The following is a 12,932-nucleotide window of genomic DNA, read 5'->3' on the forward strand; positions in this document are numbered from 1 at the left end:
CCTCCAACTTACAAACAGGTTATTTCATCACCATGTGGTCAGGGGGCCAAGAGAAGGGACAGTCCAGGATGCAGAGGGGCCCCTTGTCCAGCTGAGGATTCTAGGAAGGTCTCCTGGAAGAAATGAGATCTAAATTGAGTCTAGAAGAGCATGTTAGTGTCAGAAAGGTGGGGAGAGCTTTCCATATTGGAGCAGTGCAAGCAGGCGTGGGGTGAGAGGCAGCATGGGGGTGGGGCCGCCAGCAGTGTGGCATTTCTAGAGGGCAGAGTGCCAGCAGAGAGGGGCCAGGGGGCTGTGTGTAGTGGGGAGACTCAAGGGAGTTTAGGTGGATGGAAGGGCAGGAGCAGAAAGAGTCCAGGATGCTGCACAGATGGCTGACTTTGGGGTCTTGGGGTGACCATGCCCTTCCCTGGTCTGGGGACACAGAAGAGAAAGTACCAGGAGTGGAGGAAGCCAGTGAATTAAAACTGAAGGAGGAGACAACTCAAATCCAAACCAGAGTCCACGGTGGCAGGGCTGGGGGAAGTGACGGGCCCTGGTCTTCCTGGAAGTTCAGGGAAGACAGGAGAAGTGAGGAGGAGGCCCTACCAAGGGGTGGAGGAGAGGCATCTGCTCTGACCAACATGGGTAGAGGGCAGGAGCATCTGGAGGGTATACACCAGGTAGGGGGGCCACATCTCAGAGCTTCCACTCCTGAGTCCCCTTGCCCACCTTTGGCCTGTGGGGGCTGGCCCCAATCCTGATTTCTCTCTGGGGAGGGGGAGCGCTGGCTTTTTCAAGTCTCTGCTCCCCTGAATCCCCTCTCTGATAAGCAAGAAGTGCCTGCTCATGTCCACCCTCTATTCCTCTTGCTGCCAGTTAACCCTGGAATCAGCATGTCCCTGGGTGAGGCTTTAGAGATCATCGATTTAGTTAACCCCCTAAGTTGACCCCCTCAGCTCATAGATGAAGAAGGGAAGTCTACGTTCATACAGCTAGTGAGTGTCAAAGAAAAAGAGGGACGGGGCCCGGCGCGGTGGCTCACGCCTGTAATTCCAGCAATTTAGGAGGCTGAGGCGGGTGGATCACCTGAGGTCAGGAGTTCGAGACCAGCCTGGCCAACATGGTGAAACCCCCGTCTCTATTAAAAATACAAAAATTAGCTGGGCTTGGTGGCTCGCGCCTGTAATCCCAGCTACTTGGGGGGCTGAGGCAGGAGAATCACTTGAACCCGGGAGGCGGAGGTTGAAGTAAGCCGAGATTGTGCCATTGTACTTCAGCCTGGGCAACAAGAGTGAAACTCTGTCCCAAAAATAAATAAATAAATAAATAAATAAAAGAAGGGGACAGAGACAAAGGTGATGACAGAAATGAAACAGAAAACGGTCTCCTCCTTTATACCCAACCTGGTTCTGCTGGACCAGGAATCCTGGGAGCCCTGGGGACTTGGTAGGTTGAAAAATACCTGATGGAGGAGACCATGGTTGCCTGATGGAGAAGGCCATAGCCAACAGGCCATCAGACAGGACCCAAGCCCAAGGGGCTCCTACAGTTACACGGCAAGCTGCTGCTAATCAGTCGGAGCAGGCAATGATCAGAGACTGGGCAGGGCCTTACCTCCAACTCTAGAACGCCAGGGAAGCAGCAGCCACCCCTCAGGGCTCAGAAAAGGGAGTTTCTAAGTACTAAAAGGCCAAGTCACTAAGAGGTGACTCAAAGTCAAGGTGCAAGGAGAGATTAGATAGTGAGATTTCAGGCTGTCAGCGAGTGGAGGCCTGACCTGTCGGCCACATGCCCTCTCATTCATTATTCATCAGTTCAAGGAGCATTCATGGAGGGCAGCTCTCTGCCAGGCTGGGTGATAGGCTCCATGGAGATCGGGGTGGCCTCTGGCCTGATGAGGAGGAACCTCAAAACTAGGGAGGAGAATAACTGGGCACTAGTGGCTGTCTGCCCTAGTTCATATCAGAATCACTGGGGAGTTTTAAAAGCACCCATGCCTCACCTCCCAAAAGGCAGAAAATAAAGCACCCATGCCCAAGCCCCACCCTGGCCTAATTAAATCAGAATCACCAGAGCCTGGAGCATCAGCACGTTCCGAAGCTCCCCAGCTGAGGCTGATGAGCAGCAGGAGCGAATACAGCTACAGGTCCAAGCAAAAAGGGCCGGCCAGGCACAGTGGCTCATGCCTGTAATCCCAGCACTTTGGGAGGCTGTGACAGGTGGATCACCTGAGGTCAGGAGTTTGAGACCAGCCTGGCCCACATGGGGAAACCCTGTCTCTACTAAAAATACAAAATTAGCCAGGCGTGGTGGCTCACGCCTGTAATCCCAGCTATGCGGGAGGTTGAGGTAGGAGAATCACTTGAACCTGGGAGGCAGAGGTTGCAGTGAGCCAAGATCACGACACTGCACTCCAGCCTGTGCGACAGAGCGGGACTCCATCTCAAAAAGAAGAAGAAGAAAAAAATAATATGGAGAAAGGGCTGACATGAGGAGAAAAGCTTGGGGAGGGGGGTTCCTTCCAGTTTAGCGGGCAGAGAGTAGTTCACAGTGGGAGGGTTCACTCTGTTCATTCATTCATCCATCTCTCACTCCTTCCCTCCCCCTCTCTTCCTTATTGAGCAAAGTCACTGTGCTAGACACTGCGGATTTGGTACTAAACAAGCGGAAATGGTCCCTGAGTGGGGAGTAACCCTCTGTGCTCCCCCAAGCCCCTGAGCCTGCGACCTCCTGGCACTGTTGGGAGTTCTCTAGGGGCAGGCTGGAAGGGCAGCATCCGAACTCAGGGTGCCCCTGCTCCCAACGCCTTCTCCCCCAGGCTCACTCACCATGACCAAGCTGAGCGCCCAAGTCAAAGGCTCTCTCAACATCACCACCCCGGGGCTGCAGATATGGAGGATCGAGGTGAGGCCCTGTCTGGGCATGGGGGCTGCTCAGGCCTGGGGTGGAGGGAGGCAAGGCCAAGGAGGGAGGCCTGGGATTTCTCTTCGTTTCCTCTGCTCCTGCCCTGAAGCCCCTGAGAGCTCAGCCCCTCACCTCCCGCATCATCCACACCCCGGCTGGTCTCCCTTTCCCTTTCTCCATTTCTTCTCCCTCTGTCTCTCAACCTTCCTCTCCACTTCCTCTTCCTCACTCATCCCTTCCTTTCCCTCCATTGATTTTCCTTCTCCCGCCCCTCACAGTTTTCTTCTCCTCTCTTCCTTTTCTCTCCTTTCATTCCTGGGCCCGGCTCTTTGTCTCCGACGCCTCCTCCCCTTGGGCCCTCCTCCCAGGCCTAGGGGTCCTGGTGGTCCAGGGCAGCCCCTCTGACCCTCTTTCTCTCCTTAGGCCATGCAGATGGTGCCTGTTCCTTCCAGCACCTTTGGAAGCTTCTTCGATGGTGACTGCTACATCATCCTGGCTGTGAGTCAGGGGCAGGGGAGGGGGCTGAGCAGAGAGCAAAACCCACTGTGGTGTCAGGGAGGAAACAGGCTGGGGGCCGTGGGGAGAGTTGGCCTGGCTTCACCCCAAGACACAATTTACTGGGTATGCCCAAGTGCCCAACCCTGTGGGGGCTTCACAGAGGTCAGAGGCTCTTGCTGCCCTTGATCCACTGAGCTCCCAGCTGAGGTCAACTTCTGTGGATTCACAGTCTTGGGGAAACTTCTGAGTTGTTGCCGTATCACCCTAACTTGAGTCCACATTTCCACAATCCATAGTCATCTTCTTTTTTTAAAATTTTTTTCCGGATGGAGTCTCACTCTGTCACCCAGGCTGGAGTGCAGTGGAGCGACCTCGGCTCACTGCAACCTCCACTTCCCGGGTTCAAGCGATTCTCCTGCCTCAGCCTCTTGAGTAGCTTGGACTACAGGCACGTGCCACCACAGTCAGCTAATTTTTTTGTATTTTTTAGTAGAAACGGGGTTTCACCATGTTGATCAGGCTGGTTTCGAACTCTTGACCTCAGGTGATCCACTCGCCTCAGCCTCCCAAAATGCTGGGATTACAGGCATGAGCCACCATGCCCAGCCTGGCAGTCATCTTCATATCACCTTGATTTTCACCATACCCTGGTACCACCTGTACTATTAAGACATTTGTATTTTTTTCTTTATATTGACTCATTTTAAATTTTTATTTTATTTTATGTATTTATTATTATTATTTTTTGAGACAGAGTCTCGCTCTGTCGCCCAGGCTGGAGTGCAATGGCACAATCTTGGCTCACTGCAAACTCTGCCTCCTGGATTCAAGCGATTCTCGTGGCTCAGCCTCCTGAGTAGCTGGGATTACAGGCATCTGCCCCCACACCTGGCTAATTTTTGTATTTTTAGTAAAGACAGGGTTTTGCCATGTTGGCCAGGCTGGTCTTCAACTCCTGACCTCAGGTGATCCACTTGCCTCGACCTCCCAAAGTGCTGGGATTACAGGCGTGAGCCACTGTGCCTGGCACAAGCAAGTTATTTCTGAGATGAGGCAAGGGAGGCCCAGAGAGGAGAAGCCATGTCTCAGAGAGTCAATGGTAGAGCTGGGCCATGACTCAGGGCTCCTAACCGCCAGCCTAGTGCACTTGCCCTGTGCCACGCTCCCCCATAGTCCTGGACGGCACGTGTGTGGGAGGTCACACAGAGCTGGAGGGGCTGTGGGAGCCCAGGGTCTCGGGTACACTGGACACCTTTTCCCTAGATCCACAAGACAGCCAGCAGCCTGTCCTATGACATCCACTACTGGATTGGCCAGGACTCATCCCTGGATGAGCAGGGGGCAGCTGCCATCTACACCACACAGATGGATGACTTCCTGAAGGGCCGGGCTGTGCAGCACCGCGAGGTCCAGGGCAACGAGAGCGAGGCCTTCCGAGGCTACTTCAAGCAAGGCCTTGTGTAGGGAGGGTGGGCTGCAGGCCGGGGGAATGAGGATGAGTGGTAGGGATAGAGATGTTGGGGCTGAGCTGAAGAGGCAGGGACACCCAGACCTGTTCAGGCCTGGGAAGAACACTTGGAGCAGGGGGAGGTGACCTGGGGCGGGGAAGGGACCCTGAAGCTGTGGGGGGAGGCACGAGGGGGACCCTCATGAGTTTTTGGTGATTGTCCCTCACCTTTCCACTCCCTAACTCTTATTTCTGCCACTGCTCTGTCCTTGGTCTGGAGGCTGTTCTGAAATTCTATAACTCTCGTGAATCTCTGTAAATCAGCTCCTACTTGAATGTCCTGGAGAGCTCAGTGCCTAATCAAGCCCCCCAACTCTGGCCAACGGGCAAATGGCTGCTCCCCCATCTCTAATGCAGGCCTATCACACTAAAAACCAAGACCGACAGCTTTTCTTTTTCTTCCTTTTTTTTTTTGAGATGGAGTCTTGCTTTGTTGCCCAGGCTGGAGTACAGTGGCACAGTCTTGGCTCACTGCAAACTCCGCCTCCTGGGCTCAAGCGATTCTCATGCCTCAGCCTCCCCAGTAGCTGGGATTACAGGCACACACCACCAGGCCTGGCTAATTTTTGTATTTTTAGTAGAGACAGGGTTTCACCACGGGCAGGCTGATCTCAAACTCCTGACCTCAAGTGATCCATCTGCCTCAGTCTCCCAAGGTGCTGGGATTATAGGCGTGAGCCACTTCGTCTGGCCCCACCTCAGCCTCTTGAGTAACTGGGACTACAGGCCCGAGCCACCATGCCCAGCTAATTTTTTTTTTTGAGACAGAGTCTTGTTCTGCCGCCCAGGCTGGAGTGCAGTGGCGCGATCTCAACTCACTGCAAGCTCTGCCTCCCAGGCTCACGCCATTCTCCTGCCTCAGCCTCCCCAGCAGCTGGGACTACAGGTGCCCACCACCACGTCCGGCTAATTTTTTTGTATTTTTAGTAGAGACAGGGTTTCACCGTGTTAGCCAGGATGGTCTCAATCTCCTGACCTCATGATCTGCCCGCCTTGGCCTCCCAAAGTGCTGGGATTACAGGCGTGAGCCACCATGCCTGGCCAGCACTAATTTTTTAATATATATATTTTGTAGAGACGAAGGTCTTGCTCTGTTGCCCAGGCTGGTCTCATACTCCTGGGCTCAAGTGATTCTCCCACCTCAGCCTCCTGAAGTCCTGGGATTACAGGCATGAGCTACCACTCCCAGCCCAGACTGCTGGCTTTTCTATACAAGTTGAAGTTCTAGCTTAGCTTTCCCCAGGAAAACACACACTCTGGAGCTGAGTTGTTACTGACCTGTAGGACAGGCTGAGGGCTCTCTAATTAGCCACAGTTCCCACTCTTTTTTTGTCTTGCTCCTCTCTTCCCACGCTATGGCAGTAGTCCACTGCCATGGGCACTGGAGTGGCACCTCTCCATTCTTTTCTTTTCTTCCACTTTGATCCCCTGTCCTCAGGATTCTGTCCCTATTTATTAATACATTTCCTTTTTTTTTTTTTTTGAGATGGAGTCTCACTCTGTCGCTTAGGCTAGAGTGCAATGGTGCGATCTCGGCTCACTGCAAACCTCCGCCTCCTGGGTTCAAGCAATTCTTCTGCCTCAGCCTCCTGAGTAGCTGGGATTACAGGCACCCGCCACCATGCCCAGCTAATTTTTTGTATTTTTAGTAGAGATGGGGCTTCACCATGTTGGCCAGGCTGGTCTGGAACTCCTGACCTCAAATGATCTGCCCACCTCGGCCTCCCAAAGTGCTGGGATTATAGGTGTGAGTCACCGCACCTGGCCTATTAATATATTTCCTACTCTTAATATATCATGACCCTATCTTTGCAGGCCTCTCCACAGGGCAGGGACTAGGGCAAGACGAGTGAAGATCTAGGGTGCAGACTTTAAGGTTGCTCTCACTGTCAGGGTCGTGCAAGGGCATGCCACAGGCAGACCTTGCACTTTCAGGACCTGACAGTGAGTGACTCCCTAAAGTTTGCGCCCTCAGCACCTCATTGACCTCGCCTACTCCCACCCTGGCCCTCACGTGACCCCAGCGTGGCAGCCAGGACCTGGGAGAACAGGGGCCAGGCACACCTCCCAGCCCACTTCCTTGGGTCAGCTCACCTCTCTTCTCAGGATCCGGAAAGGGGGCGTGGCTTCTGGCATGAAGCACGTGGAGACCAACTCCTATGACGTCCAGAGGCTGCTGCATGTCAAGGGCAAGAGGAACGTGGTAGCTGGAGAGGTAGGCAGGCCCCACTGGAGCATCGGCCAGGGCTGTGAGGCCCAGGGTGGAGGGCAGGGGCTGAGGAGGGGTGAGGGGCAGGGAGGGATGGCCAAGATGATGGATGATAGGTGAGCTCTGAGTGGGGTCTGTGCCTCCCCTGTGGCTCCCTAGGTAGAGATGTCCTGGAAGAGTTTCAACCGAGGGGATGTTTTCCTCCTGGACCTTGGGAAGCTTATCATCCAGTGGAATGGACCGGAAAGCACCCGTATGGAGAGACTCAGGGTAAACCTGCCCATGCACCACACCTCCCTCTCGAATCCTAGACTGCCCCCACCTGCTCCTTTCCCCAGGCCTCTCCCCGCTGACTGCTGGGGACAGCATGTTTGAAGGTGGCTCAGTCTCCATGTGTTTGGTGCAGGCATGCATGTTGGAGTTTGCGTGTGTGTACTTGTGGTCAATCCACTCAGATAGAATGAGTCTCTACAGTGTGACAGAGCCTGTGCCAAGCCTTAGGGATCCAGTGGTGAATGAAATGGGCATGGACATACGTGTGTTTATACTCACAGTACATTGACGCTGTGTGTGCACTGTGAGACTGCAGGCATGTTTGGGTGCAAAGAGATTTTTTTTTTGGAAACACAGTTTTGCTCTTTTTGCCCAGGCTGGAGTGCAATGGCGCAATCTCAGCTCACCGCAACCTCCGCCTTCTGGGTTCAAGTGATTCTCCTGCTTCAGCCTCCCGAGTAGCTGGGATTACAGGCGTGCATCACCACACCTGGCTAATTTTTTGTATTTTTAGTGGAGACAGGGTTTCACCATGGCCAGGCTGGTCTTGAACTCCTGATCTCAGGTGATCCACCCGCCTCGGCCTCCCAGAGTGTTGGGATTACAGGCATGAACATGATTGAGTACTGTGATCCTTGGGGCTCAGCTCGTGTCCCGAACTGTGAAGTCTAAGCACACATTTCCCACACTGTCAGAACAGAAGGCCCAGCAAGCCCGCTTGAGCACCTCCCTGACAGTGGGGAAACCTGCTCTCCCAGCTGCCTTCCCCCTGGTTTCCTTACATGCCTTAAAAGCTTGACCCCTCCGACGGGGAAAAGCAGGGCAGGGGTCTCAACCCCTGTGGCTGCTGTAGGTGGTCTGGGCTTGCCTGGCAGGGTGTAGGGTGGCAGACACTGCCTCATTCCCCGACTACTCCCGATGGGTCACCAGGGGCCTTCCTGCAGGGCATGACTCTGGCCAAGGAGATCCGAGACCAGGAGCGGGGAGGGCGCACCTATGTAGGCGTGGTGGACGGAGAGAATGAATTGGCATCCCCGAAGCTGATGGAGGTGATGAACCACGTGCTGGGCAAGCGCAGGGAGCTGAAGGCGGCCGTGCCCGACACGGTGGTGGAGCCGGCACTCAAGGCTGCACTCAAACTGTACCAGTGAGCGCCCAGCGGGGTCTTCCTGGGTGCTGGGGACTCCCTGGGAGAAGGTGCCCTGGCTGAGGGACTTGGGCCCCCTCCCCATCTATGCCTTGCTTCTGTCCTGCAGTGTGTCTGACTCCGAGGGGAATCTGGTGGTGAGGGAAGTCGCCACACGGCCACTGACACAGGACCTGCTCAGTCACGAGGTAAGAGGGTCTGGAGACCCCTCAGCCTACTGCAGCCTGGCCCCCTTTCCCTCAAGCAGGAAAAATTCCAGGGGGCTTGGGGTGGGCCTGGGAGGGAGAGACTTTTTTGTGTGTGAGGCTTTCCCAGTCCAGCACCTCCAGCTCCATCAGACTCTTACCTCTCCCGACTCTAGGACTGTTACATCCTGGACCAGGGGGGCCTGAAGATCTACGTGTGGAAAGGGAAGAAAGCCAATGAGCAGGAGAAGAAGGGAGCCATGAGCCATGCGCTGGTAGTGGTGGGGGCGGGGGAGGGTCCAGGAGGAGGGCAGAGTGATGGGAGGGAGAGAGCAGATAGCAGCATGGGGTGGGCAGGCAGGCTCAGACCAGGGCATAGTGCCAGGCAGAGGCAGGGAAGGCTGGGAGGAGCAGGATGAGGGCTGGGCCCGGCCCAATGGGAGGGGCCTGAGGGGCCATTCTGTGGTCATCTTCGGGGTTCTCTGCACACCAGGGAGCCAACCACCAGGCAACCCTGGGGCCACCTCAGGATGTGGGCTCTCACCTCCCTGCACCTGAGCTGAGTTTGGAGAAGGGAAGGAGAAATGGAGGGAGGCTGGCTTCCTACAAAAGGGGATTGGGTCAGCTCAGACCAGGGCCAAGTCAGAGTTTGGGGTCATTGCTGGGGCTGGAGTCGTAACCCTAACTGGCTTGGGGCCAGTGTTGGATTGGGGACTGGGCATTAGGATTAGCATTGAGGTAGGGTCACATTAGGCGTTAGATTTGGCTTTGGGATTGGGGTCAGAGTTGTGTTTCGGTATTAGATTTGAAGCTGAGGTCAGAGTGAGTCTTGAGGCCAGTGTTAGGTTTCAGGCGGTATCAGATTTGACCTTGAGGCTGGGGTCAGAGTAGGGTTAGGTTGGGGATTAGCATTGGGATTGGGTTTGGGTTCAGTTTTGGTGCCGGGGTAGATCTGATGGTGGATCTGGTTAGGTTAGAGCTAGGTTTTGGCTTGCATTGGGAGTGGGGACTAGGGGAGGTGCATAGCTTCCAGCCACCCCTTTCTCTTCCAGAACTTCATCAAAGCCAAGCAGTACCCACCAAGCACACAGGTGGAGGTGCAGAATGATGGGGCTGAGTCGGCCGTCTTTCAGCAGCTCTTCCAGAAGTGGACAGCGTCCAACCGGACCTCAGGCCTAGGCAAAACCCACACTGTGGGCTCCGTGGGTGAGGGCCAGGCGGGGGCAGTGAGGGAGCCAGGATCCAGGAGCTGGGCCAGGAGAGCCACTTGGTCCACCACCCACCCTCCTTCCCTGACGTGCATCTTCAACGAAGACTTTTACGCTGGCTCTGGGCTTGTCCTAGCAGATGGGGACGTGGACAAACTCTAGTTGTCACAAAAAGGGAGCTGAGAGGGCTGGGCATGGTGGCACATGCCTGTAATCCCAGCACTTTGGGAGGCTGAGGCGGGTGGATCACCTGAGGTCAGGAGTTTGAGATTAGCCTAACATGGTGAAACCCCGTCTCTACTGAAAAAAAGAACTAATAAATTAGCCAAGCATGGTGGTGCATGCCTGTAACCCCAGCTACTCAGAAGGCTGAGGCTGGAGAATCGCTTGAATTCAGGAGGCAGAGGCTGCAGTGAGCCAAGATCATGCCATTGCACTCCAGCCTGGGCAACAAGAGCGAAACTCCATCTCAAAAAAAAAAAAAAAAAAAAAAGGGGAGCTGTCAGTGATGTGATATTTCATTTGGGATGGGGTTGGGCCTCCCTGAAAACCGAACAGCTTCAGTCTCTTACCAGCCAGTATTTGCTGAGGGCAAGCTCGGTGCCCAGCACCTAGGAGAGGACAAGTAATAGTGTACAGCCCCCAACATTGCACAGCTCCCTATTGAGCTGGGAGACAAGGTCAAGGCTTGAAGTCTGAATGCTGCAGGGGTCAGGACGTAGATCAACAAAGCTAAAGCCTTGCTCTTATGCCTCTCCTGGCTCCCTGGGAGCAGGAGTTTTAGAGGGAGGGAGATGTGGTTCTCTATTGTAGCTCTGCCACATTCTGTGCAACCAGGTAAGCTACTGAATCTCTCTTGCCTCGGTTTCCTCATCTGAAAATGAGTCTAAGAATTGTAGCCACCATTCAGGGCTGTTGTGAGGACCTGGGAGACCTCAGCTGGTGACAGTTGGTTTCATGATTTCCCCCACTCTAGCCAAAGTGGAACAGGTGAAGTTCGATGCCACATCCATGCATGTCAAGCCTCAGGTGGCTGCCCAGCAGAAGATGGTAGATGATGGGAGTGGGGAAGTGCAGGTATGTGAGGGCAGAGAGGCCCGTGCTGGGTGGAGCAGGAATGGTGGAGCCTGTCCTGGACCTCACCCTGGCCTGATACTGGCCCTAGGTGTGGCGCATTGAGAACCTAGAGCTGGTACCTGTGGATTCCAAGTGGCTAGGCCACTTCTATGGGGGCGACTGCTACCTGCTGCTCTACACCTACCTCATCGGCGAGAAGCAGCATTACCTGCTCTACGTTTGGCAGGTCAGGTCCCGCCACGTCCCACCCAGAGCACAGCCGGCTTAGCTCTGCCTTGTACATACTCCTGCTAAGTGGCCATCACCCTTGGGTTGAATACCTCTGGGGATGGGGTGCTCACCCCTTCAAGAAGGACTGCTTTGGCTATGAGGTCCCGCTAGTACCCCCATTCACAGCCCTTTTCCTTTTGGTTCTCTGAGTCTCCCTTCCAATTTTCATTGCCTTCTGCACATTCTTGTCACCTGCTCTGCCCATGGGTTTTTGTGTCTAGATGCGAGGGAGCAGGGAGTGTGTCTAGGACTGAGTGGTGTGGTGCCTGTGATGTCTCCCTGAAGAAGGAGCAGAAAGGAAAGGAGGAGGTTTGGGGTTAAGGCTGGGGTTGCAGGTAGGTCAGGGCTGGGCTGGGTCTGGGAAAGAATTAGGTTTGAGGTTGAGATCAGAACTGAGGTATGGTTCAGATTGGGGTTTTGGCTGTTTCACAGTGGAGTTTGGTGGGGAAGACAATTGGGTTTAGGACCAGTTCAGACTTGAGGATGGAGTTGTTGCTGAGGCTGAGGATGGGGTCAGAATTGGGGGCTGACCCAATCCCACTCACTCCCTCCTGCTCATCCCCAGGGCAGCCAGGCCAGCCAAGATGAAATTACAGCATCAGCTTATCAAGCCGTCATCCTGGACCAGAAGTACAATGGTGAACCAGTCCAGATCCGGGTCCCAATGGGCAAGGAGCCACCTCATCTTATGTCCATCTTCAAGGGACGCATGGTGGTCTACCAGGTGTGGCTGCTGAACTGAGGTGTCTGGCAGTAACCACTGTGGCAAGACAGGCATCCGGGAGATGGAGAAGGGGATGGGTGGTGGGAGCAGGGCTTGAGGTGAAGCCCATTCTTCATAGGAGACTACCCTGGAGGTTCTATCACCTATGTGGAACTGGTAATAGAAACAACCCATTTGGTTACTTTAGAAATACGTGTAATTGGGCCGGGCATGGTGGCTCACGCCTGCAATCCCAGCACTTTGGGGGGCTGAGGCGGGTGGATCACCTGAAGTCAAGAGTTCAAGACCAGCTTGACCAACATGGTGAAACCCCATCTCTACAAAAATACAAAAATTAGCCAGGCATGATGGTGGGTGCCTGTAATCTCAGCTACTCAGGAGGCTGAGGCAGAAGAATCTCTTCAACCTGGGAGGCGGAGGTTGCAGTGAGCCGAGATTGTGCCAATGCACTCCAGCCTGGGCAACAGAGGGAGACTCCATCTTTAAAAAAAGAAAAAAAAAAAATGCCGGTTGCGGTGGCTCTCACCTGTAATCCCAGCACTTTGAGAGGCTGAGGTGGGTGGATCACCTGAGGTCAGTAGTTCAAAATGAGGGCATGCAATGCAGGGGGCACAGCAAGGACAAGGGCCTGGGGGAGAGGCTCCCTGGGGAACATCAGAAGCCTGGTGGAACTGGCCAGGCATGGTGGTTCACGCCTGTAATCCCAGCACTTTGGGAGGCAGAGGTGGGTGGATCACCTGAGGTCAGGAGTTCGAGAGCAGCCTGGCCAACATGGCAAAACTCTGTCTCTACTAAAAATACAAAAATTAGCCAAACGTGGTAGTGCACACTTGTAATCCCAGCTACTGGGGAGGCTGGGGCAGGAGAATGGCTTGAACCTGGGAGACGCTGAGTCAGGATCACACCATTGCACTCCAGCCTGGGCAACAGAGCGAGACTCCGTCTCAA

General features: G+C 54.5%; 1 protein-coding gene across 1 annotated transcript in view, besides 2 other annotated features; it reads left to right on the forward strand.

Moving 5' to 3' along the window:
- The window catches only part of VIL1 (villin 1), a 34,173-nt gene that overhangs the window by 1,845 nt on the left and 19,396 nt on the right, over positions 1 to 12,932 (forward strand). Inside the window, exons 2-13 of the mRNA NM_007127.3 lie at positions 2,801 to 2,886; positions 3,310 to 3,384; positions 4,648 to 4,844; positions 6,998 to 7,106; positions 7,260 to 7,370; positions 8,318 to 8,520; positions 8,630 to 8,708; positions 8,882 to 8,980; positions 9,758 to 9,911; positions 10,890 to 10,990; positions 11,079 to 11,216; positions 11,826 to 11,984. Of these exons, the coding sequence (NP_009058.2) occupies positions 2,812 to 2,886; positions 3,310 to 3,384; positions 4,648 to 4,844; positions 6,998 to 7,106; positions 7,260 to 7,370; positions 8,318 to 8,520; positions 8,630 to 8,708; positions 8,882 to 8,980; positions 9,758 to 9,911; positions 10,890 to 10,990; positions 11,079 to 11,216; positions 11,826 to 11,984 (1,500 nt within the window). The 5' untranslated portion in view covers positions 2,801 to 2,811. The remainder of the gene's footprint in view (positions 1 to 2,800; positions 2,887 to 3,309; positions 3,385 to 4,647; positions 4,845 to 6,997; positions 7,107 to 7,259; positions 7,371 to 8,317; positions 8,521 to 8,629; positions 8,709 to 8,881; positions 8,981 to 9,757; positions 9,912 to 10,889; positions 10,991 to 11,078; positions 11,217 to 11,825; positions 11,985 to 12,932) is intronic.
- Positions 3,439 to 3,939: an enhancer, noted in NCBI's record as "H3K4me1 hESC enhancer chr2:219289129-219289629 (GRCh37/hg19 assembly coordinates)". NCBI's record gives its function as "activates a minimal SCP1, AML or CMV promoter by ChIP-STARR-seq in naive H9 embryonic stem cells {active_cell/tissue: H9 hESC(naive)}" and the evidence as "EXISTENCE:reporter gene assay evidence [ECO:0000049][PMID:30033119]".
- Positions 4,822 to 5,039: a silencer, noted in NCBI's record as "fragment chr2:219290512-219290729 (GRCh37/hg19 assembly coordinates)". NCBI's record gives its function as "represses an EF-1alpha promoter that drives an FKBP-Casp9 reporter gene in an ReSE screen in K562 erythroleukemia cells {active_cell/tissue: K562}" and the evidence as "EXISTENCE:reporter gene assay evidence [ECO:0000049][PMID:32094911]".

This window comes from Homo sapiens, chromosome 2 (genome assembly GCF_000001405.40).
Source record: "Homo sapiens chromosome 2, GRCh38.p14 Primary Assembly".
In the NCBI taxonomy this organism is placed as follows: Eukaryota; Metazoa; Chordata; class Mammalia; order Primates; family Hominidae; genus Homo; species Homo sapiens.